Here is a 25,566-nt window from a genome sequence, read left to right as displayed (position 1 = left end):
TGGTTGCAACCTTCACCTCCTGGGTTCAAGCAATTCTCCTGTCTCAGCCTCCTAAGTAGCTGGGATTACAGGAACCCACCATCATGCCCAGCTAATTTTTGTATTTTTAGTAGAGATGGGGTTTCACCTTTTACCAGGCTGGTCTCAAACTCCTGACCTCAGGTGACCCACATGCCTTGGCCTTCCAAAGTGCTGGGATTACAGGTGTGAGCCACCGCAAGTGGCCAAAATGTACATTTTAAATGGATATGTTGTATTGTATCTAAATTATACCTCAAAATATTTTGATTCTTAAAAAGGCAGCCACAGAAAGAAGAAATATTACCATGAAAGTAAAAATAGACTGACAGCAACTTCTCAACAGAGACAATGTAAGCCAGAAGACAATATAATGATATATTCAAAGTGCTGAGAGAAAATAACTGCCAACTTAGATTTCTACTGCCAGGGAAAATATTATTCCAGAATAAAAATGAAATAAAGTCATTTTCAGACAAATAAAAACTGACACCATTTACCTGTAGCAGAGACTACTAAATAGAATACCTATAAAGGCAGAAGAAAAGTGAACCCAGATGATTAGAGATGTAGGAAGAAAGAAAGAGGCAAAAAAGAAGCAAATACATGTGTAATATATGTGAGTGTTGACTATTAAAATAATACTTATGTCTTATCATTTATAGAAAAAGAATATTAACCTACACAACAATAATGGCGTATACAGAGCATGATAAATGGAATTAACATATTATAAGGAATTGTCTGGATATGTGGTAAAGTTATCAAATAATATTAGATTTTCATAAATAAAAGTGACGAATTCTCTAGGGTAGCTACTAAGGCAATAAAATGGTATATAACTTTGAAGCTAATGAGAATTTTTTAATTATTTAATTATTTCATCCTTCCATTTAATTCAAAAAAAAACAGAAATAAATACAGAATAGAATAGGAGTAAACAAGGGAAAATACATAGTAAGACCACAGATTAAAACACATATATTAGTCTTCACATTAAGTGTAAATAAACAACATATGCCAATTAACAGACAAAGGCTGACAGACTGGCAAAAATATAATTAAAACACAAGAGACATATCCAAAATATCTGAAACATAGGTTGGAATTAAAAGTTTGAAAAAATATATATGCCACATAAATAGTAATCAAAAGAAAACTGGTATAAAATAGCAATATGCAGTAGATTTTAAGACAAAAAGCACAGATATAGATAAAGAGGGTCACTTCAAAGCAACAAAAGATCAAATTAATCAAGGATTCATTGAGTCATGGTAACTCATTAGTTCTTAAGTAGAGTAAAAGCAAATCCAAAATGCAATACTCTGGTCCTTTCATGGTTGCTAGCCAGCATGTGATGGTAAGTAGTTAAATGACTTTGTGCCTTGGTTTTTATTCGGCTGCAATACCAGTCTTGGTGGCTTCCTGAGGTTGTTAAGAATGCCAAATGAGGTACTTCATTATGTGTGAAAGTGAATATGACTTGAACTGGAGAGGACAAAGAAACATTTATGGAGTGCCTACTATGTAGGAGAAACTGCCCTAAAAGCTTTATTATTCTTCATCTCTTGTAGTCTTCCCAGCAACCCTAAAATACATTTATTTTTATTTGCATCTATACAAATGAGAAAAAAGGAGTCTAGAAGAGACTAAAGGTCTTCCCCAAAATAAGCAAATTACAGAGCCAGGATTCAAATCCAACTTTTTTTTCTACTCTAAAGTTATGCCTAATCCTGGTTACTTCTTAATGAACATTAAGTTAGGTCTTCTAACTAGATATTCTGTAGGCCACTTTATTATATTACTTTCTAAAGCTCTATTTTAAGTTCACATCCTTAATATATAAATAGCTCATACAAATCAATAAGAAAATATTAAGATGCCAAAGGTAATAATAACTAGCATTCATTGAGCACCTACTATTTGCAGTCTGTGATCCAAGTGCATTGTATGAGTCACCTCACAACAGTTCTGTGAGGCCAAGCATCAGCTGGAGTCCAGTCAGTAATTTGAACAAGAAAAAAAAATTTAAAACAAATAACTATTAACTATAATGGGGAAGAACTTATCAAGATAAAAAGAGAACTCAGAAGAATACTGTGGAGCTGATGAAAAGTATCCAAGAAAGGAACAACTTGGCGGGGGCCTGGAGAGACCTCCCCAAGACTGGGATTCAGACTTTGTTGGAGAAAGCGAGGTTGCAGCCCCCAGGATAGCAGAGAATTCCACTGGGATGCCCACCCCAGAGCTGTCTCCCTGCGAGGCAAGGAGGGAACTCTATCCTGGGATGAAGGATTGAGGCTGGTGGGTGGGTGGGCAGGGGTGAGTCACAGTGTTGAGAGCCACTCCCCAGGAGGGTAGCACATGGCCTGAGGTGTGAGATGTCTGTCTCCAAGTCAAAGGAGCCAACTCTCCGCGGTGCAGGCTGGTGGGGTAAGCAGAGGGTGTCAGGGCAGCACAAGGCCTGGGGTGCACAGTGTCCACACTAGAAGGCCCCAACAAGATGGTACCCAGGCCTGGCCAGCTTGTGAGCTTGCCAAGGGATCACACGCTCAGGGTTCACAGCTGGGGTGGAGTGACTAACACTGGATGTCCTGCCCATGCACCACTGCAGCCAGATGTCAGCAGGAAAAAGAAGAAAAAAGAGCAGCACTCCAGATGCAGATCCCTCCTCCTACCATGTTCCTCCAGTGTCCTCTGCTGACAAAGCTTAAATACCGTACTCACTGCAGAGAAGAAAGGCTTAGACTTTGGCCCATTGTCTCAGAGCAGGTGGTGAAGGGTGAATTTGAGATTGAGGAGTAATACATTTATAACTGGGAAAGGTAGGTACATTAGTATAGCCAATTTACAAATGAAGAGACTGGGGCAGCAAGGGGTTCTATGCCTAAGGTCTCTAGTGATAGGGTCAGGACACAGATCCAGAGCCCACCTCGTCAACCACAAAGCTTCACTTCCATCAGTGGGAAAAGACAATTACCAAAAGTGGAAATACAAATGATTAATAAATATCTGAAAAGTTTTTTTTTTCCATTGGAGAGGAAAATCAATGTAGCAAATAATTGACTGTATCTTTACACTTATCAAATAAGCAAAAATGTTAATGTCCTTAGACCCATACTCTGAGGATGAGATGAGTTGAGCAGTTCATATACTTCTTGGAGCAGTGTTTCAGTAAGGGTTCAACTGGAGATGTAGAACTAGTAGGGGATATATGTTAAGGGGATTTGTTGCAAAGAATTGCCTTCCGTGGTTGTGGGGGCAGGCAGCAGGGTGGAAATTCTCGGGCAGCAGCTAAGGCTGCATTCTACAAGTAGAATTTCTTCTGGAGAAGGTCAGTTCTGCTCTTAAGGCCTTTCAATTAATCAATCAGGCCCACCAGATTATCTAGGATAATCTCGCTTACTTAGAGTCAACTGATTATGAACATTAATCACATCTGCAATATTCCTCATTGCAACACCTAGATTAGTGTTTGATTGCATAACTGAGGACTACAGCCCAGCCAGGTTAACACATAAAACCGACCATCTCAAGAATTCACTGATACTTCCTGGGAAGCAGTTTTCCAGAGCATGTAATAAATCTTAAAAGTATCAATACCCAGTACCATCACTTCTTGGAATGCATCTAAGGGAATACTTTGAAAGACAAAGATTCAAAGATTATTGATAATAGCAAAATATTTAGAAACAACCTTACTGGTTCCATTAGGGAAATTAAATTATGTAACATTTATATGAAAGAGTAGTAAGAGGCTATCGAAAGATTTACAAAAAGTTTACAATTACAGTTATAAACAGCTATAATAAAATATTAAGCCAAAAGAAAGACAGGAGAGAAAACTGTTTATATAGAACATAAAAAATTCAGAAAATAAGAACACTATGGAAGTAGGGGGAAAATGTTAACAATGGTTCTTTGAACTTCATGTTTTTCAATTTTTCAAAAATGACCTTGAATTACTTTAAAAATTGCACAAAGTAACATAAAGAATGTTCCATGCAAACTATAAAACATGAATTTACAAAGTGAGATGTCGTGCCAATATTTAGGAGTGTTTTAGCCTGTTACAGATTCCAGTTCTTTGTATGTATATGAGAGCAATGACCTAACTTCACCTTTAAGAGAAAGGAGGAAAGGACTGATAGTTAAGAAACTACACTTCCTTCAACCCAGTAGTCACTCCCAAATAGATATAATGTTTCCCCACCATTGTGAAGGCAACTTTAATAAATTACCACAGGAAAAAAAAAAATACACTTTCATCACCCCTGCCCTTCCCAATTCAGCTCAATTTCACGGTGCACGACTGCTTTCTATTTTATTGTCACTAAGGCACCAGAGAAAACAAGTAGAATAAAGACTACCATTGTTAACAGATTTTATATTTTTAAAAAAAACATTTTTCTTGCAGTTTCAATGGGTTATTTAGCTTCAATGGCATCTGTTGACACTGAAAAAAATGTAACTACCATAGCTATAAATCTGCTTTCCTTGTAAATGTTTAATTATAATGTTTCCATTTCAATTTAAGATAAATTCACTTTCTATCTTAAGAAACTGTTACCAAGAAAACAGACTGAAAACAAATCCCACAGCAGTGATTGTTACCCAGCTCCCTAAAACCCTCTTAAAGCACAGAATCCCGTCAATTCTTCCCAGCAGGCATCCCAGAGCTGCAACTTAAGAGTCTTTGAGGGACTAACACATAATCACAGGAGAGACCAAATCAAGGCCCTCCCCACTCCCATCTTCATGAAGTTTTCTGACTCTGCTGGAGTTCACAGAGAAAGGGGCCATCCTACAATCCCTCCATGCACCAAAGTTTACACCAAAGAAAGCTTCATAAATGTTTCATTTAAGGACCTGAAAATTACAACTGGCCCTCTTCTCCCCTCAATAGTTTACGATGGTGATCTTCTCCTGAACCACAAGAAACAGTCCTCCACCTCACACCTGGGTCTCCTGCTATGTGTAAGTAAAACCGTAGCCAACAGAAGGCCACTTTCTACAATTGAGAAGAAAAATAGCAGCACCCCAGGCTGCATCACCCAAGGCAGACACAGCTCCCCGAAATGCTGCTCAGAGACTCTGTGCTCTCAGCATGCCTCTCTCAGCAAGGGAGGTCCCTCAAGATCTGAGATGCTGTAAGGGAATCATAATTCTACATGAAAGTCTGCATGTGTCCTGGGATAAGGAGAAACTGGAGAACCACATCCATCGTTTAGCCCACTTTCTCACACTCAGAGGGATGGGCTAGTATCTTAGAACTGTCGACTAGCGACCAGGGGCAACCCTGACCACCACATCAACTTCATTTAACCTGCTCAGTATTTGTCAAAACTAAAATAAGTCTCAGATATGTCACACAAAGATATGCATTTCTATGTGCCTGAAACTCAACTCCACTTCCAGGACAGACTATTATTTTATACAAGATCAAAAGGTGCCACAGAAAAACACACCTGCCGTCATCCTGGCTCAGGGCAGTAGAGTCCCTTATCTGATACCTGATCATCGTCCTGAATAGAGCATCTTCTCTTATCTTTTTGAGGATGTAATTTAATAAGGGCTTGTTCTGTTCCCGTAAACTATACTAAATACTACTTTATATAAATTATTTACTTAATCCCCATAGCAAACCTCCAAGGAGGTATTATTCTCTTCCTTGTGTCACAGATGAGAAACTGAGTCACAGGGTCTGAGTCACCTGCCTGAGGCCACACAGCTAGTAAATGACAGGGCATGGATTTGAGCTCAGCTCTGACCCCCAAAATGGTAATTTTAAATAACTGTAGTATTTGCCTCCCTCTAGCAAATTCCAGGAGATCACAAAACATCCCCCAATGAGTGGATAATATTCAAATTCCTGATCCTATGGTCACTAGCTGACATAAAATTTAAACTATCTGTTGGTTCCCTATTTCATATATTTCCTGCCTCTATTTCCTCAAAGGCAGTAACAGCACACGGACAGCAGATTTCACAGCAATGTTCTCTCCTGAACACCTTCTAAACCTCCTGCCTTTTCTCCTCCTCAATAAATCATGGCCTAGGCCTCTGGCAAAGCTGTTGCTGTGTTTGTTGTTGCCTTTGAAACAGGTAAAAGTGGAATCCAAAAGAGGGGAGAAAAACAGAATGTACCTTGCAATTCTCTTGACGGATCCATTTTCATTCCCCTAATGGTGTATTTTGGGTTTTAAAAGAATATAAATTTTAGAGGAAAAAAATCTTTCAAAAATACTGCATTTGGATTTAAGTCTTTAGGGAGCATATCTGCTGAGGGAAGAAACCATCAAAAAGAACATTTACAAAGGCTGGGTTGCTTTTCATTTTCTATTGCATTTAATCTCCACCATAAGCCTGCAACAAAATCCCCATTTTACAGAAGAGATTCAGAAAGAGTTTGTTATCTGACTAAATTCACACGAGTGATCGGAGATGGAAGAGCCACCACTGATTCCAGCTCTCTGCCTTCAAATCCCAGGCTACACCAGCCTTTTAAAAAGCCTCTTTCCCCTGGATCTGAGTCACTTCTTTCTGTAACACATTGGGCTACTCTGTCAGACCCCAATAGGGTGGGAGGGACCTAAGGGCCTGGAGGGGCCAGCAGATAACTTCAAAGTGAGACCAACACAGGTTTAACACAAAAGTGCATCCAAAGCAAAACTCGCCATGTTTGCATTTAGAAAGAAACCCTGGTGAAATCTAAGCCCTTTCACTGGTTCATTAAGTGTTTCATCATACATCCTTTCTGTGTATTTATCACGGAGGTACTAAGGTTTATTTATAATGGGTGTTTTACATTGTTTCTTTCAACTTGGAAACCTTTTGTTTGCATATTAATCATATAGAAATACTCTTCTTTGTTACAAAGAAATGTGCTTTTTCACTTATCTGAAAACACATCACTCTTTGTCTATCTCCCCCCAACTTTTGATCTAGACATGGATGCTAATAATATTAATTCAATCAATATTACAGGTTATTTATTCTGTGCCAGACAATGTTGCAAGCACTTTACATTGATGAAATCATTTAATCCCACAACAACCCTATCATGTAGAGACAAAATTCTCCCTATCTTAAGGTTGAAGAAACTAAGGCCAAAGGATTTTAAATAACTTGTTCAAGGTCACATGGCTAATAAGTGGTGATATCAAGAAATGCTTCTCTGCCAGAAGAAAAACACCACTGTGCATTTCATAAACGCCAACTAATACCCAGCTTCAGTTTTTGGGGAACAGCAGGGAGCAGAGGGGATTGTGGGAAACGAGAGAGCATAGCCCCTTCTACACTGAGCAGCCACAGTCAGCTCTAGCAGTTGTGCCCATTCAAGGTTGACTTGAGTTTCCGCTTTCTCCAGAGACACCTGAAATATGTATTTTTAGTCAGATCTCCTGATATTTTTAATAAAAATAAATAAACTGAAAGAAAAAAACACTTAGCAAAACAAATGAAACAGGTTTATGGGCCACTGATTTGTTGCCTACATATTGGAGATTGCAACTGAACCAACACTGAGTAGCAATAGTTCACATGTTTAAACAGTTCAGGAAATCTGGTGTCTCCTTGGAAGCAAAGACTTCTTTGCTTAGCAACTGTTTAATCAGGGGGGAGATGCAAGGTACTAGTTCATTTATTAACGGGAAAATAATCGCGGGTCCTAATGAGTCACTCAGCATCAAAATGCATCAAATTCATCATCTGTTTCAGTCTTTGAAAATGATTAAACATCACTTTCTTTCCCTTTATAGCAAGATCCAAGTGATAACCAATCCATCAGCTTATCTGCCAATATTTAACAACAGCATTTTGCATTCATTATGTCCTACTTAAATCATTCTTTTAAAAAGAGGAATAATTTAATTCTGTCTCTTGACAGCAGAGACATTAAATGGTGTGAGTGTTTCTCTGACAAAACACCAAGAGCATATCCATGAAATCAAGCCAGAAGAATGCCAATCCAGAACAAGAAATACAACAACTAGCTTCCAGAAAAATCTTTTCATTTTCATATCCTGATACTAAAACCTGGAGGAGACACAACAAAAAAAGAAAACTTCAGGCCAATATCCTTGATGAAAGGATTTTTGCAAAAATCCTCAACAAAATACTTGCAAACTGAATCCAGCAGCACATCAAAAAGCTAATCCACCATGATCAAGTAGACTGCAACCCCAGGATGCAAGGTTGGTTCAACATACACAAATCAATAAATGTGATTCATCACATAAATAGAACTAAAGACAAAAGCCACGTGATTATCTCAATAGATGCGGAAAAGGCTTTCAATAAAATTCAACATCCATTCATGCTCAAAACTGTCAAAAAACTAGGTACTGAAGGAACATACCTCAAAATAATAATAGCCATCTATGACAAACCCATAGCCAACATCATACTGAATGGGGAAAAGCTGGAAGCATTCCCCATGAAAACTGGCACAAGACAAGGATGCACTCTTTCACCACTCCTATTCAACACAGAATTGGAAGTCTGGGCCAGAGCAATCAGGCAAGACAAAAAATAAAGGGCATTCAAATAGGAAGAGAGGAAGTCAAACTATCCCTGTTTGCAGATGACATGATTCTATACCTAGAAAACATCATAATCTCAGCCCAAAAGCTCCTTCAGCTGATAAACAACTTTAGCAAAGACTCAGGATACAAAATCAATGTGCAAAAATCACAAGAATTCCTACATACCAACAGTAGCCAAGCCAAGAGCCAAATCAGGAACACAGTCCTATTCACAATTGCCACAAAAAGAATGAAATACCTAAGAATACAGCTAACTATGGAGGTGAAAGAGGTCTACAATGAGAATTACAAAACACTGCTCAAAGAAATCAGAGCTGACACAAACAAAGGGAAAAACATTCCACACTCATGGATAGGAATAATTACCATCATTAAAATGGCCACCTTGCCCAGAGCAATGTGCAGATTCAATGCTATTCAATGCTCTTCCTATCAAACCACATTCTTCACGGAACTAGAAAAAACCATTTTAAAATTAATATAAAACCAAAAAAAAAAAGAGCCTGAACAGCCAAGACAATCCAAAGCAAAAAGAACAAAGCTGTAGACATCACCTTACCTGACTTCAAACGATATACTACAGGGCTACGGTAACCAAAACAATTATTGAAGATTTTGTGTGTAAGAATAGGCACTAAGATCTATAATAGCAAAAATTTTAAATAATGTTACTCAACAGAAGAATGGGAAAATAAATTATGGAATGTCTGTATCATGGAATATTACACAGCAAAGGGATAAAAGAACTAGAACTACATGTATCAATAGGGATTAACTTGGGAAATGCTACCTTCAGCAAAATAGGCAAATTGCAGAATGATTCTTTTAGCACAATGCCATTCATATAAAGTTTGAAAATACACCAAAAAACACGGCCTGTGGAAAGGTACCTCTGTAGTAAAATTATATAAACATTCATAAGATTGATAAACACCTAAATCAGGATAATGGTTAACCTTAAGGAAGGAAGGAAGAAGGAGGAAGGAGAATGCAATAGAGAGTTTTGTTTCTTGCTTTCTTTTTTCCAGCTCTGCAGCGTATTTTGGGAAATATTAAACTGTGACACAGCTGTGTGGTAGATAGGTGGATGTTTGCTACAATATCCTCTACAGTTTTAAGTATGCTTGAAATAGCTCTTAACTTTTTTTAAAGAAAAGAAAAACAACTTGTCCCTTTAAAGAAGAGAAAACAATTAGCTTATTTGCTGACCTGGCCATACCACGCACCTGCATGTATAGCAGATCGTGGGCACCAGCTTATTGTTGCCAGTTTTGCTTTGGTTCTTAGAAGTGGGTGCTTTAGCTTTGCTTCCTTAGTCTTTAAGAGTCTTAGTCCTTAAGAGTTACACCTCTCTGGAATTAAATGCAGAGCCGTTGCCAATCTCCAAAAACCTCCTTCCTTACAGAGTTACTGCCCAGATGGACATATCAGCCCTGATGGTATTAGATATTACCTTTGAATTCTTAAAAATATGTTTAATTCTTGGAAAGTCTCAATAAAGGGAGAAGAATGCAGTTGATTCTTGTAGGAGTTTAGTTTGAAAGACTACATGGAAGGTGAAAAACTACATTAGAAACAGCCTTTGAATATCCCTTAAAGTGGCCATAAAGCACATTACAAGAGACTTTTGCAGAGAAAAATCTTCTCCCCCTTTTTGTTGTTTTATTTTTTGTTGTGGTAAAATAAATAGAACACAAAATTGACCATTGTAAAGCAAGCAAGTCAACGGCATTAAGTGCATTCACAATGCTGTGCAGTCATCACCACCCACCTCCAGAACGTTTTCGTCACCCCAAGAGGAAAACCCATATTCATTAAGCAGCCACTCCCCCTTAGCCCTGCTCCTGGCACTCTGCTGTCCGTCTCTATAGATTTGCTTATTCTGGACATTTCATATATATGGAATCACACACCATGTGGCCCTTGATGTCTGGCTTCTTTCACTCAGCGTCATGTTTTCAAGGTTCTTCCATGTTGTAGCCTGTGTTGCTGCTTCATTCCTTTTCTTGGCTGAATAACATCCCAATATATGGAGACGCTACGTTTTTCTTTATCCATATGAGCATGTGGAGAAATGGAAACCCTCTTACATCGCTGGTAGGAATGCAAAATGGTGCAGCCACTGTGAAAAACAGTTTGGCAGTTCCTCAATAAATTACACATAGAATTACCATATGAACCAGCAATTCCACTGCTAGGCACCTACCCAAAAGCACTGAAAACAGGTGTTCAAACAAAAACTTATACAGGGTTGTTTATAGCAGCACTATGCACAATAATCACAGATGAAAACAACCCAAAAGTCCATCCCTTTTGTTTAAAGTAGCTGCCTTGTGTTGAAGTCATGTTACATTAAGATTTCAGATCCGCCAGCATCAGAATCATAGTCAGCGCATCGGAATGTTCACACCACGAGCAGGCCAGGGAAAGCGGATCCAAACCTGGGAGGAGCGGGGTCACTCTGCCCCAATCCCATGCTCCCTCCCAGGCAGCCCCTCCTGAGTGGATGGTGGGTGCAAAGACATCTGTCTTGAATTTTAGGTGTTATCTGAGTCTCTCTCTTTTGTAGAAGCTCATAGCCAAATCCTATCAGCTAAACAAGGGTGTGGTATGGCCCTTGAAAACTGCATCCATCAGAATTATAGACCTGAACACACCTGTGCTCTAGAGATGACCTGGCTTGAGGGTCAAAAGTCACCTGGCATCCAGAGAGGACACTTGCAGGTGGCAGAAGGGACTTGCGTATTCTGGGGAGATGCTTCTGAGACTTGGAGAAGATGGGCTGGAACCATGCCAGCCACTTGACTATAAATAGTTCAGCCATAGTTCTATGTTCCAGGGAGGTGGACCAAAAAAGATGAAGGCAAGTGGATTGGCCTCTTGGGGCTGCCGTAACAAAGTACCACCAATTGAGTGGCTTTAACCACAGAAATTTATTCCCTTGAAGTTCTGGAGCCTGGAAGTCCAATATGAAGGTGTTAGCAAGGTCTCCCCATTCTGAGAGCTGTGAGGGAGAACCTGTCCTGTGCGTCTCCCTTTGCTTCTGGTGGTTGCTGGCAATCTTCGAAGTTCCTTGGTTTGTAGATGCATCACGCCCTCTGCCTTCTTCATGCGACGTTCTGCCTGTGTGCATGTCTGTGTCCAAATTTCTCCCTTTTTTAAGACACCAGTCATCTTGGATTAGGTCCCACCCAACTCCAGTGTAACCTCTTCTTAAATAATTACAACTCCCATGAGCCTGTTTCCAAATAAGCCTGTGTGTGTGGTACAGGGGAAGAGGTACGATTCCATAACAGGAAGAGAGCATGGCAAACAGTGAGGCTGAGATGGACTGAGCACCTGGTGTGCTGGGCTTGTAGCTTCCACACTCACTCCCTTGGCCATCCCAAGACACCTGTGGTGCAGCCATTAGGATCCTAATTTTAACAATGAGCTTCATACAATGTGCTCATGCTCACACAGTTAGCTGAGAATGCAGTTCAGACAGTTGGACTCCGGAGCCCAAACCCTTTCTACTTTCCACTGGAACATGACCACGCACAGGGACCAGATGGAAAGAGGCAAAGACCGCAACGCCCACCAGATGCTTTGCCTCGGAACAGAAGGGAGGAAAGGATGTCTTCAAAGCTCATAGGAGACTGTTGTTAGGGAAGCAGAGGACCTCCCTGTGGGGCACCGAGGGGCAGGATGGAGAGGCAGACATCAGCACCGAGACCCTCTGACACTACCTCTGCTCCATCTGCTCTAGCTCCACAGGCCTCCCTGCTGCCCTGGTTAGGAGAGGTCCCCTCCATTTAGCTCCTCCTGCCCCGGGGAGTCCACTTGTCCCTTCCCTCCCATCTCTCAGGCCTCCAGTCCAGCACCTCTTCACAGTGAGCTCATCCCTGACTTCCTGCCCCCAAATCAGGGATTTCCCTACACCGGCATTCTCCATTCTTATCTCCTGCTTTATTTTTCTCCCTGACACTTTCTTCCATCTGTTAGTAAATCTTTATCATTGTCTGTTTCCTCCCACTAGAATATAAACTTCATGGAGGACATTGACCATTTTGTTCAGTGCGGTAAATTCAGCACCTATACTAGTGCCTGGCTCTTGGGAGGGCTCTGTAATACGCGCTGAAGGAATAAATGTTTCCAAGCAGTCCTGGATGCTGGGGCTGGTATGTCCTTGCTTGGCGACCAGGGAGGATGTGTCTAACCCCTCCCCCTGCAGAAAACTTGGGGGCCGTCCCAGCCCCGGGTGGGTAGGTCTGAGGGCTCCACCCCTTCCGCACCCCAGTCTCTCTTTAATTATGGTCCCCGTGACAGAAATTCTAGGCCCTTCCTGGCAACTGACCACAGCTCTCATCTGCCTTCTTTGGACATCAAGGGATCAAAGGTCTGCCTTGTTTATTCATACAGACATAATTCAGAAGAGCAAGTGGGGTTTTCCAGCCAGGGATGTGAGATGGGGGTTTCACGGTCACACATTTCAGTCCTCAGTTTCATTTTGGAAGGAACACCTTGAGCAAGATATGTCAGGGAACAAGAGACAGTGGTCACAATCTTCTCCTCCCCCTGCTCCCCTTAAGAAGAGACAATCTGTACAAAGCAGAGGTGCGGAGGATGAGAGGACACCTGAGCCCCCACAAAGGGGATTTTCCCGAGGGTTTCCCCAAACGCTTAGTAAGAGAGAGTACAGGGCTGGTTCAGGAGGCCCAGACTTCTCTCCTCATGCACTCTGAGTTTTACACGGAAAAGAAGTTTCAGCATGAGGAGGGGCTCTTCGCTCCTGACCCCGCTGCATCAGACCAGTGTGCGCAAGAAACACACCACTTCAGGGGTTTACAATAAAAGGAATTCGGTGCAGGGAATTGGTTACCCAAGCAAAGGAAAATCTGAGAAGGCAGACAGGATGGTGAAAAAACACAGAGATTAGAACAGCAAGAAGTCGCGACCACCTCTAGGCTGAAAGGGCAAGGGAGAACTGGCAGTGGCCAGAGCCTGGAGACCCCTCGATGGAACGCGACGTCTGACCACAGCCGGCGCCTCCTGTAGGGGCTGGAATCAGGTGTTGTGGGGAGCCACTGCCAGGGCGGCCACTGAGGCTGGGATGGGGAGGGAGGCCCCGGCTTCCCCCACCCTCCCACCCTCTAATCTCCCACCATGGCCTCCCAAGGGCCAAACCCAGATGGAAGCCAGCTGACCCCGGACAGGCCAAGGACACACACATTACAGACTGTGAATAGGCAGAATGGTGGCCCCATAAGACAGCCACGTCCTAATCCCCAGAACCTGTGAACACGGTGCCCTACATGGTCAAAGGGACTTTGCAGGTGTGGTTAGATTAAGGTTCCTGGGGTGGGGAGATTATCTGGATTAGCAGGTAAGCCTGATGTGACCACACTGGTCCTTACTAGAGGGGGACAGGAGCGTCAGGGTCGGAGAATGAGACGTGACCGTGGCTGCAGAGGTCAGAGGGATACAGGGCCACCCGCCAAGGAATGTGGGCAGCCCCTGCAAGCGGGAAAAGGTGAAAACACAGACCCTCCCAGAGAGCTGTCAGGAGGGAGGCAACTCTGCAATGCCTTGACTTAACACCCCGCGAAATTTATTTTAGACTTCTGACTTTCAGAACTAAGAAAGAATAAACATATATCCTTTGAAACCACAAAGTTTTTGATAATCTGTTATGTCAGCAATAGGAAACTAATACACCCACAAATATCTCATATGTAATACTCAATTTGCAGAGCCCCCTTCCAAGGCGAAATAACACATACGAAAGGAAAAGAGATAATTACATGGCATTACATTGCGAACTTTAAGAAAAAGGCTTCGGCGTAGGCAGAAGATAGAAAATACAAAATATCATTTTTTATGGCTGCATAGTATTCCATGGTGTATATGTGCCACATTTTCTTAATCCAGTCTATCATTGTTGGACATTTGGGTTGGTTCCAAGTCTTTGCTATTGTGAATAATGGGTGGGGGGAGGGGGGAGGGATAGCATCGGGAGATATACCTAATGCTAGATGACGAGTTAGTGGGTGCAGCTCACCAGCATGGCACATGTATACATATGTAACTAACCTGCACAATGTGCACATGTACCCTAAAACTTAAAGTATAATAAAAAAAAAGACAAAAAAAAAAAAAGAAAATACAAAATATCATTGTCTAGACTGAGGGTAGCGTTCTAGGGAGGGCAGTCAGCTGAGACTCGTGGCACAGAAATCCCAGTTGAGCCGGAGAGTGTTTGAAAGAGGAATGACCCGAGGGTCCTTCCAGAAATAAAGCCATTTGGAGTTCAAGTCGGGGGACACCTCCTTCTTAAAGGCTTCCAGCATTGCCCCGATGACCGTGACGTTCCACAGCCAATACCTTTACAAGCATCTAGGGAAGCTTCACTCATTCCAGTCCTTTAAAACTAATGAAGGATATGGTGATCTCTGTGGCCAGGTCTAAATCCTGTAAACCTGCAGTTATTAAAAACATTTAAAAATAAGCACACCGCAAGGACCCTGGCTGTGGGGCTGACTCAGAAGTTACTGGCAGGACTCACCATGCACAGCGTGGGGCACGCGGCATTCTTAGAAGACATAAAGTGTCTGCTCCGACACTTGCTTAAAGTAAGATGCAGGTGCTGCTTAAGGAAAGGCCTCCTTCTCGTTCCCACTTTTCTTGGCCAAATTGGCATTCCACTCTGAGGTGCTTTTGTCCACTGCTCATAGACCAAATGAGTGAACTACGAAGTGTGTCTGTGGAGCCTAGAACTCTCTTGGGAAGGGAAAACATTCTCACATAGCAGATTAATCTGAGTACAAACAGTGTCGACATGTGTGCACCAAGCATCACACCAACAGATACCAGATGCCGATTCCACCAAGGCCGGCCCATCAAAGGGACGGATGAGCCAGTGCTTGTCAGTTTTCATGCTTTTTAATGCACTGCTTGTTAAGTAAGCAAGTTGATATATCAAAAATGAAATTCTAAAAATGCTCCCAACCAGCAAAAGTAATGCTCATAAACAACAGGCCCCATCCCTTGGCTAGGCAGCAAGCCATGGGCATTGCAGGCCACATTCTAACACTCTCTTTCTCTCTCTCTCTCTCTCTCTCTCTCTCTCTCTCTCTCTATATATATATATATATACACACACACATATATATACACATACATATATATACACATACATATATATACACATACATATATATACACATACATATATATACACATACATATATATATATACACATACATACATATATATATATATATATATATATATATATATTCAAGGAATTCCCTTGGCCCATTCACTATTGTCTTTCAACAAAAGAATGCTTCCTCCAGGTTCCAATTTCCCAAGCTTGTGTGATTACAGTGGTTATGTTCCAATTAAAATAAAACGATAGATGCACCTGACTGAATGCCAGAGCTATAACCAGCCTGGCAGACCATGCAGACCTGGCTGACCATGGCGTCTGCCCAACCTTGCTTTTGCTTACAGGATTCGCAAGAGTAATTCCCCAAACAGCGCATACAAAATCAAGCCCCTGTCACACCCCACCAACACCCCGGCAGCGTGGCAGCAGAGCACCCCATGATCCATGTCCCAGGATCAGAACTGTCTCCCTAGCACAGGAAAAAGGGCGTTTAAAAACACGGCCCCCTATTTCACACATGGCAAAAGCGAGAGCCAGAGAAAGGAAGTGGACACTGCAGTGAAGTCACCAGAGGTTTCCAGAGCAGAATCCAGGTCTCAAGAGTCCCCAGGCTTCAGACTGCAAGCCCTAAGAATCCCATGACCAATGGCTGTCCACCCACCACGAGCCTTCTGCATTGCAGATTGTATCTCAAGCCAACCACCCACTTGTCCCACCTCGCCATTCACTGACTCCCTGTCTGTTCACTGTGATCCCCTCCACATACCTGGGAGCACCAAGGACAATGCAGCTGGCTGCCACCATGTCTAGCACCCAAAAGCCACCGTCCTGGAAGGCTGAGCACAGCCTCTTCCCAATCGTGGGTTTTCCTGCCCAGAGCAGTAGAGTCAGGGGGAAGAAAAGCAGCCGTGGCCCACAGGAAGACCTGGTTTATTTATACTGAGACATCCACACAAAGCAATCTAGTCCTAAGCACGTCGCTCAGTACGATTTCTCGGTCCTTATCCCAGACTCTCCTGACACTCTCACCTTCTGCCCATGCTCAAAGCCTTCCATAAATCCTTCCCAGGGGGCTGGTGTCTTTCCACCGAAGTAGAGTTAGCCAGATCATTTGCTTCTCTGTCTGTTTGCCATCATTTGCTTACATGCAGCGTTTCTCATCATGTCATCATTAACACGAAGGGGACCCCCCATTACCAAGGCAACAAGCAGAAAGGCAAGTTCCATTTCAATTACAGCCCCTGGATGATGGCGATAGCCCTCACCTGGGCTCCCAGGCTCCACCCTTGCTCCTCCAAGCAGATCTTTCAAAAAAGGTAAAGTAGATCACATCACTTCCCTCAAAGCCCTGCAGTAGCTGCTCATCCCATGCAGAATAAAATCCAAAGTCTTTTCAGAGCCTATGAAGTCCTATATAATTCAGCCCTTGGCCACCTTGCTGACCTGGTCCCCGCTGCCCCCTCCTTCACTCCATGCCAGCTCAACCCCTGACCATACTGGGGCCGGCCACCTCAGGGACTCTGGGGAGATGCTCTCCTCCCACATCTCTCCCTGCCTCCTCCCCACACTCCCTTCAGGGCTCTGCTCGTCAGAGAGGCCCTCCCTGACCGCCTTATCTGAAGCAGAACCTCCCAGTTACTCTGTCCATTTACCTGCCTTATTTTTCTTGTTAGCTTTTATCACCACCTGACATACAATTGCATATTCCTTTCTATAGATGTAAGTTCCAGGAGAGCCAGGACCGACTCACTGGTTTTGTTTCCAGCTGATTTCCCAGAACCCAAAACAGGACTCAGAAGGTGGGTGGCACTTGATAGACATCTGCTGAACTGAAGCACAGGACGCTGGATGCAGAGATGACCGTCGTGAAGACCTGGTTCAAGCTCGGCTGGATTCTGTGACTTCTGTGCTGCCCAGGCCATCAACCTACCAACCCAGCTCCACCTTCCCTGGGAGCCTTTGCAGATGCTCTTCCCTCTGCCTAGAAAGTCCTTCCCCAAGTCACTGAGTGGCTGGCTTCTCCTCATTCCTCCCATCTCAGAGCCAACAGCATTTCCCTAGACCGGGTTTCCGCCCACACTATCTCCAGTAGCCCCAGGCCCCTCTATCACATGACCCTGTTTTAGCTCCCTGCACATTTCATATCATTATCTACATGAGCTACCGTGAAATTCTGATCAATGATGTGACATCTAGCTCTCCAGTGTGCAGACAGCCCCGGCCAGTGCGCTCACCCGACAACCCCACAGCTACGGTCCAATCTGTTAAGGGGTGGAAGGGAAATTTACAAGAGGGCAGGTGTGCCTAAACAAATCATCCTGCATTATTCATTCATTTAGTAATATTTTATTAAGGATATGTGTCAGGCACGGTCAGGCGTGGTGTCAGGCACGGTACAGTGCTGGGTAACAGTGATTCATTGTGGAAGGAAACACAGTCCCTTCACTCCCAGAGCTCAAGGACTAGTTGCAATTAGCATCAGAAAGTAAAGTGGAGCTGCAAGAAGAATTCCAAATACATCTGTATATACTTCACCCTTAAGGAGGGAGCATAACTCCCCACCCCTTCAGCGTGGGCTGCACGCACTGTGCCCTCCTTGCAAAGAGTACAGTGTGGAAAGGGGGGAAGCAGGGAAAAGTAACTTTACAGTGGAGAAACCTTGCAACACGACATCAGGCAGGCCATCAAGGTCGACAGTCATAAATCATGTGAGTAGCATGTACCCTGATACGACATGATGAAAATGGCACCTTACCTCTGTGGCCTACCTCCCAATAAACCTATAACCTCAGTTTAGTTAAGTTAAAAATAATCGGACAAGGTTCAATAAAGGGGCCTTCAATACAACCCCTGACCAGTGTTCCTCAAGACCGTCTGTCAAGGTCATCTAAAACAGGAAAGGCTGAGAAACTGTCACAGCCAAGAGGAGCCTCAGGAGACACGATGACTAAATGTCATGTGGGATCCTAGAACAGAAAGAGGACATTAGGGCCGGGCACGGTGGCTCACACCTGTAATCCCAGCACTTTGGGAGGCCAAGGCAGGCGGATCACCTGAGGTCAGGGGTTTGAAACCAGCCTGGCCAACATTGTAAAACCCCATCTCTACAAAAAATACAAAAAAAAAAATTATCTAGGCATGGTGGTGCATGCCTGTAGTCCCAGCGACTTAGGAAGCTGAGGCAGGAGGATTGCTTGAGCCTAGGAGGCAGAGGTTGCAGTGAGCCAAGATCATGCCACTGCATTCCAGCCTGGGTGATAGAGTGAGACTCCCTCTTGAAAAAAAAAAAAGAAAGAGGACACTAGGAAAAAATTAAGGAAATTTGAATAAACTATGGACTCTAGTTAATGACAACATATCAGTATTGGTTCATTAATTGTAACAAATATACCATACTAATGGTAGGGAAAACTGGGTATAGAGTGAGTGGGAAGCTAATACAAGAAATCCCTGTAGTATATGCCCAATTTTTCTGTAAATCTATAACCACTCTGAAAAATAAAGTCTATTATTATTTTTAAAAGAGGATCATGTGATAAGACAGGGGAATATCTTCAGGGGTGAAGACCGCACACCCCTTCTGCAAACACCATCAGGTTACCCAACTAGCCACACTCAGCTACAGGCTGCAAACTGCTCATGGTCAACATAGCATGGGACCACGTGTGCCTGTACCTATGAAAAGCAACATAGGATGTTGGCCACATAATTGGATAAAATCAAATAAAATGTCATTTCAAAAGACACAGAAGGTTTCTTCTCACCCAAAAAGAGAACAATAACTGGGCACACTAGCTTTTATCTAGATTTAAAGGCATGGTGCAGGAGGTGAGCTTGGTTGGGGCAGGCTGTGTTAAATGAATACTTTCAAATCATGGAGAATTTTCTCTAGGAAACGGAGAAAAAGGAAGATGGAGGGTTGGGGGCAGAGGCAACCACTCAAAGGTTCATTTGATTGCTTTTGTAAAAGATTTGCAGCAGATCTGAGGAAGGCTTCATAATGACATATATAATAATGATATAATATGATATAATGTCATAATAATAGTGACATAATGGCAATAAATAGGTCAAAACAATAAATGAATGAATAAATTGATAAATGCATAAAAAATAATGACATAAGAATAAAATGATTTCATGGAGAGGCCCGGGTTTCTAAAAAATACCAACACAAAAGGCCAAATAAAGAGTCATTTACAGCTGGGTGCAGTGGCTCACACCTGTAATCCTAGTACTTTGGGAGGCTGAGGCAGGAGGATCACTTGAACCCAGCAGTTCGAGACCAGCCTAGGCAACATAGCAAGACCCTGTATCCACAAAAATAATTGAAAAATTAGCCAGGTATGATGGTACATGCCTGTAGTCCCAGCTACCTGGGAGGCTGAGGTGGATCACTGAGCCCAGAAGATAGAAACTCAGTGAGCCATGGTCATGCCACTGCATTCCAATCTGGGTAACACAGAGAGACCTTCTTCCTCAGAAAAAAAAAAAAAAGTACTTTCCATTAGCATGTACTTGGCAAGTTACCCTTCGTTTGTTTCTTCAACACCCCATCAGAAATCTGATGTAAAGGCTCTGGTTTTAAGTCATCATGCCAGCAGACCTATAGAAAGAAAGACTCCAATTCCCTCTGGTTCAATTTTTTCCTGCATAAGGAAATCACAAAAGTTAAATCCTACAGTAGAAATAACATCTGCACTTGGTAAGAAAGGTCGTGTTGGAATCTCAATGCCACTTGGAGTTCTAAGAGAAACTCTATCCTCTATTTCCATTTCACAAAGGACCTACAGTGCATGAACCTGGCAATGTGGTGATTAAGGCCCAGCATCCTGTAACCTCGAGCAATGTAACTGAAATCAGGAATCTGGGGGAGGCTATCAAAATTCTACCAAAGTGCTGACCTTTGGCAAAGTTTCTCTTTGGCCCCATCCACTTCTTGTTTTTAGATTACTCTGATACTGCGAAAAGAGCGTTGGACTTAAAACATTCAACACATACTTGTTGAGAGCCTACTCTGTGCCAGGCACTGCTCTGGAGCCTTGAAGCCTGGGTTCAAATCCCAGGTCCACCAGTCCTAGCTACATGGCTATGGGCTCTTAACATCTCTGACCCTCAGTTTCCCCATCTATAATGGAGCCAAGAGTGGTATCTTCTTCACTGGCTATTTTGATAATTAAAGGGGATAATATAGAGCATAGGACCTGGCACACAGTAGTGCCCAATAAATGTTGCATCAGGAAGGTCTGCTTCCAATGAATCCTGAAAAGTCCTCCCTCTTTGCATAGACTGCTCAAAGAGGCACCCATCCAGATGCACCCTCCCATACTCTAAGATCGTCCAGCCCCACTATCAAGCCTCACCTGTGCCACATCAAATTTTTGCATTTAAGAGCATTTTGCAAGACGAATATAATATAGTGTTAATATTACATACAGAATGGTTTAATAGGTCACCTTCCCAGAAATGTGTATTTCTAAACACTTTTAAACTCTTGCTCATGCTTTAGGGACCAGTTTAAATGTCACCTCCTCTGAGAAGCCTTTTTAGATTCTCTCCATACGGAACCCATTGTGTTCTCTTTGTTCCATCAAACTTGGTCTCTTGTCCTATGACTATGGGGAGCGCTGCCTACTGGTTCAATTCACTGTCTCAGCGTCTGACTCTTGCACTAGGGTTTCCAGCATCTCGAACTCTGATTCTCAAAAGGACTGTAACAGTCCAGCCAACTGCTTAGATTTACTGAGATAGGCAACAGGACCACTAGGTCGTGACGAAAGCTGTTTTAAGAAGACTAGACTAGCAGCTGGATGGATTAGTGGGGAAAGACCCGGTCAGAAACACCTTGACGTGGCCACACAGACATTCCAGGAATGAGCTGTATGAACCTGCATGTTGCCAGGGACATAGCCCTCAGCCAGTGAGAACCTCCTGGTCATCAGGAAGACTCAGGGGCCAAAAATAAGACTTTTTTTTAACAAACACACCAGAACACCCAAGTATGCTTTCTTCTGCTCTAAATCAGCCATCTTGAGAATTAGAACTTTAGAACTTTTTAGTCATCCAAAGGTAGTCACTTGAAATCTATGAACATATTATGGAACTGGCATCACCACTCAAAATGTATATTTAATCATGAGAATGAAAAGACAAGCCACAGAATAAAAATAGTTGCAAAACATATAATAAAAAAAAAGAACAACCCAACTTAAAAAATGAGCAAAAGACTTGAACAGACACCTGACCAAAGAAGATATATAGACGGCAATAAGCACATGAAAGGATACTCAGCATCATGTATCATTGGGGAGCTGCAAATTTTAAAAAATGAGGATACCACTACACAACTATTAGAATGGCTAAAATCCAAAATACTGATAACACTAAATGTTAGCAAGGATGTGAAGACACAGGAAGTCTCATTCACTGCTGATTGGAATGAAAAATGCTACACCCGCTTTGGAAGACAGTCTAGCAGTTTTTTACAAAACTAAACATATTCTTATCATATGATCCAGCAATTGCGCTCCTTGGCACTTATCCAAATGAGTTGAAACCGTACATCTACAGAAAAACCTGAATATGAACGTTTATAGTAGCATTAATCATAATTGCTAAAACTTGGAAGCAACCAAGATGTCCCTCAGTAGATAAATGTATAAACTGTGGTCCATCCAGGCAATGGAATGTCATTCAGTGATAGACAGAAATGAGCTATCAAGCCAAGAAAAGACAGCGAGGAAACTGAAATGCATATTGCCAAGTGAAAGAAGCCAATCTGAAAAGAGTACATACTGTATGAGTCCAACTATACGACATTCTGGAAAAGGCAAAACTATGGGGACAGTAAAAAGATCAGTGGTTGCCAGGAGTTCAGGGAGAAGGAGGGAGAGGGTAGGTAGAGCACAGGGGGTGGTTTTAGGGTAGTGGAGCTATCCTGTGTGATACTGTAATGGTGCATAAATGTCATTATACATTAGCAAAACCTACAACACAAGGAGTGAACCCCAATATGTAGTGTGGACTTTAATAATAATGTATCAATATTGACTAATTAATTGTAACAAATGTGCCACACTAATGCAAGATGTTAATAATAGGGGAACTGGAGGGGTAAAGGATAATGTGGCAATTTGCTATACTTTCTTTCCACTCAATTCTGTAAACCTAAAACTGCTCCCCTCAAAGAAGGCTATTACATTTTTGTAAATGTATAATTGAAAATTCTTTGTACAAGTCAGGATAGATTATGTTATGCTGTGGTAACAAATAACTTCAATGGCTTAAAACAACCAAGATTTAGTTCTCACTTGCACTACCTGCTCTGGACAGGCCAGCAACGGGGCACTGCAACCTTCTCCTTAACCAAGCTTGAGTCAGGCACCTCTGAGCCCTGACTTGGTCTCAAACCTGCCCTCCACCACCTCCTCCCCATGTCTCAACCCCACCCCATTCCCCATCCGTGCTGGACTCGCATATCCCAATTTTAGGAAGGATCTGCTAAGTCTGTTTAGAGGGAATCTCCCACCCCTGATATGTGGCTGCCTTCAGCAAGAATCCTAAGTAGGCTTAGCAAGAATCCCCCTACCCTTGCTGTCTCCTCTTAGTAATTTGTCATCCGCCTACCCCTCATTCACCCTCCTCCCCTCCTCCTCTCCTTGGCTATAAATCCCCAGCTGTCTCCACTGTGTTCACAATTGAGTCCCCCTCCATACGGAGGTCTCTTTTCCACTGTTGCAGGAAGAGTCTCTGAATAAAATCTGCCTTTACTGCTTTAACTAGCGTCAGCCACTGGTTCTCCCTAACCACTGAGGGGCTCAGGCTGATGGATGGATTTTGACACAGCCTTTCTGGCATTCCGCTAGGCCTGCTCCATCCTTCTCCAGATTAGAGTCTTTGCCTTAAAGAAAACAATGACTACATTTGACAACGCACAAACCTAAAATCTTGCTAAAGTAAAAACATAGTCCAAAATTAAGGCAACCAAGTAGGGAAAAACATTCGCAAACAAACACAGGAAAAGTTATTAAATGTAACCAGAAATTACGTCGATGCAAATTATGCCCATAAGAAGATAGCCATATTTCAACTATCAAATTAATTTTTTTAAGGTAAGGCCCACTGTTGGCAAAGGAAGTGAGCACTGGACACACACGGAGCCCTGTAAACAGGCAGGACAAGCTCACCAAAGCATCCAGAACTTAAAAACGCATCACGTATTTTGACCTGCCAGTTCATGTCTAGCTTTCCCTCCTAAAGATTTATCTACAAAGATATTTGACAGACATTTTATGCTTCAAAAGAAAAAATATTTTAAAGGAACGTTTAACAGGAAAAAGATGCAACCTCATAAAAATGGCCAGTAGCAATGTTTAAAAGAGGAAAAAAATGAAATATGGGGAATGAATAGAATATACTGCTATAATATCAATAGAATATTATACTTTAAAAATTACAGATTCATTGAAGGGCTCCACAAATCTTGAAATTGTTGGAAAAAATTGTTTATGTGTGTGTATTTGCATTTTTCTGGGAAGAGGGTTAACCACTTTGACCAATTTTTGTAAAGGGCTTGATAATAATCATTATAGTTAAATATTCAATGACATGAAAATATGTTACTATATATTTATTCTTTATTAGTACAGAAAACAAGTTTTCAAAGCTAAATGAGCAAGTCTAATATGCACAGAAATAACATATTTCTGTATATAGATGTGATCACATAGAATGCCAATATACTCAAAATATTAACAGTTATTACCCTTTCAATCATAGATTTGGAGATGACTTTTATCCCCTCCATTTTACCCAATTGTATTTTCTAAATTTTCTACAATTGAATCATCTATTACTTTTGAAGTAAGAAGCCTTTTGTTATACTTAAGATGAAACTGGCCAGCAGCATAAATTCAAAGCACTTCCCACTGGTTAGAAAAAATAAGTGGAGTGTTTTTAAATGTTTCTTTTCTTTTCTCCTGCAGGCCTGGGCTTTTTGAAGGGGTCAGGGAGGAGTCCTCCATTTCTTATAGGACTCTGTTGTCACTTTCTAGCATGAATAAAAACAAACAAAAACAAACCTCCCTCCTCTCTGTTAAGTGTGGCTCTCCCTACAGGCGGGTGCCCTGTGCACGACGCATTTCCCTACATGGGATCCTGGCTTTGAACTCCTGAAGTGGCTGGTACTCAGAGGTCTTCCAAGTGTCCAGTGGCAAGTGTGACTGTAAATCTAAGAATTGTGTATCTCAAATCCATTGCTTTCAAATCCTAAAATCGTTTAAAACTAAATATCTTTATCTTCTCCTGGGGCTTAAATGAATTTTCATTCATTCATGTCTCCCAGGAATTCTCAGCCCGGGCTGCACATTAAAATCACCTGGAGACTTTTCTTCAAAGGCCAATGCTTGTAGCCTACTGGGGTAAGGGCTAGGGAATCTGCATCCAGGACTGTCTGCACTTTGTAAAGACTCCCAGGTGACTGATGGGCATCCAGGATTGGGCCGCCTCAACCTGCTTATTCAACAGGTATTCTTTACGCCCCTGGTCTAGTTTCCTGGGGCTGCTGTTATAAATCCTCTCAGACTTGTTGGCTTAAAACAACAGAGACTTATTCTTTCACACTTCTGGCAGCCAGAGATCCAAAGTCAAGGTGTTGAAAGAAACGTGCTCCTGCCGAGGGCTCCAGGGGACAATCAGTGTCTCACCTCCCCAGCTTCTGGTGGCTCCAGACGTTCCTTGGTTTCCATGGCCGTGGCTGCATCACTCGCATCCCTGTCTCTGTCACCACGTGGCCGTTTCCTCTGTGTGTCTCTTAAAACGACACCAGTCCTTGGATTTAGGGTCCACTCAGC

The 25,566-nt window shown here is 42.4% G+C and overlaps 1 protein-coding gene across 10 annotated transcripts in view, besides 3 other annotated features; it reads right to left on the bottom strand.

Moving 5' to 3' along the window:
• TMEM132B (transmembrane protein 132B) overlaps positions 1-25,566 on the bottom strand; it is a 475,992-nt gene that overhangs the window by 214,168 nt on the left and 236,258 nt on the right. The window lies entirely within an intron of this gene.
• Positions 11,686-12,208: an enhancer, noted in NCBI's record as "NANOG hESC enhancer chr12:125920548-125921070 (GRCh37/hg19 assembly coordinates)". NCBI's record gives its function as "activates a minimal SCP1, AML or CMV promoter by ChIP-STARR-seq in primed H9 embryonic stem cells {active_cell/tissue: H9 hESC(primed)}" and the evidence as "EXISTENCE:reporter gene assay evidence [ECO:0000049][PMID:30033119]".
• Positions 12,866-13,125: an enhancer, noted in NCBI's record as "active region_7322". NCBI's record gives its function as "activates an Ori minimal core promoter by ATAC-STARR-seq in GM12878 lymphoblastoid cells {active_cell/tissue: GM12878}" and the evidence as "EXISTENCE:reporter gene assay evidence [ECO:0000049][PMID:35858748]".
• Positions 14,781-14,979: a silencer, noted in NCBI's record as "fragment chr12:125917777-125917975 (GRCh37/hg19 assembly coordinates)". NCBI's record gives its function as "represses an EF-1alpha promoter that drives an FKBP-Casp9 reporter gene in an ReSE screen in K562 erythroleukemia cells {active_cell/tissue: K562}" and the evidence as "EXISTENCE:reporter gene assay evidence [ECO:0000049][PMID:32094911]".

Source organism: Homo sapiens, chromosome 12 (assembly GCF_000001405.40).
Source record: "Homo sapiens chromosome 12, GRCh38.p14 Primary Assembly".
NCBI classification, from domain to species: Eukaryota; Metazoa; Chordata; class Mammalia; order Primates; family Hominidae; genus Homo; species Homo sapiens.
This window is presented reverse-complemented; position numbering and strand designations above follow the sequence as displayed.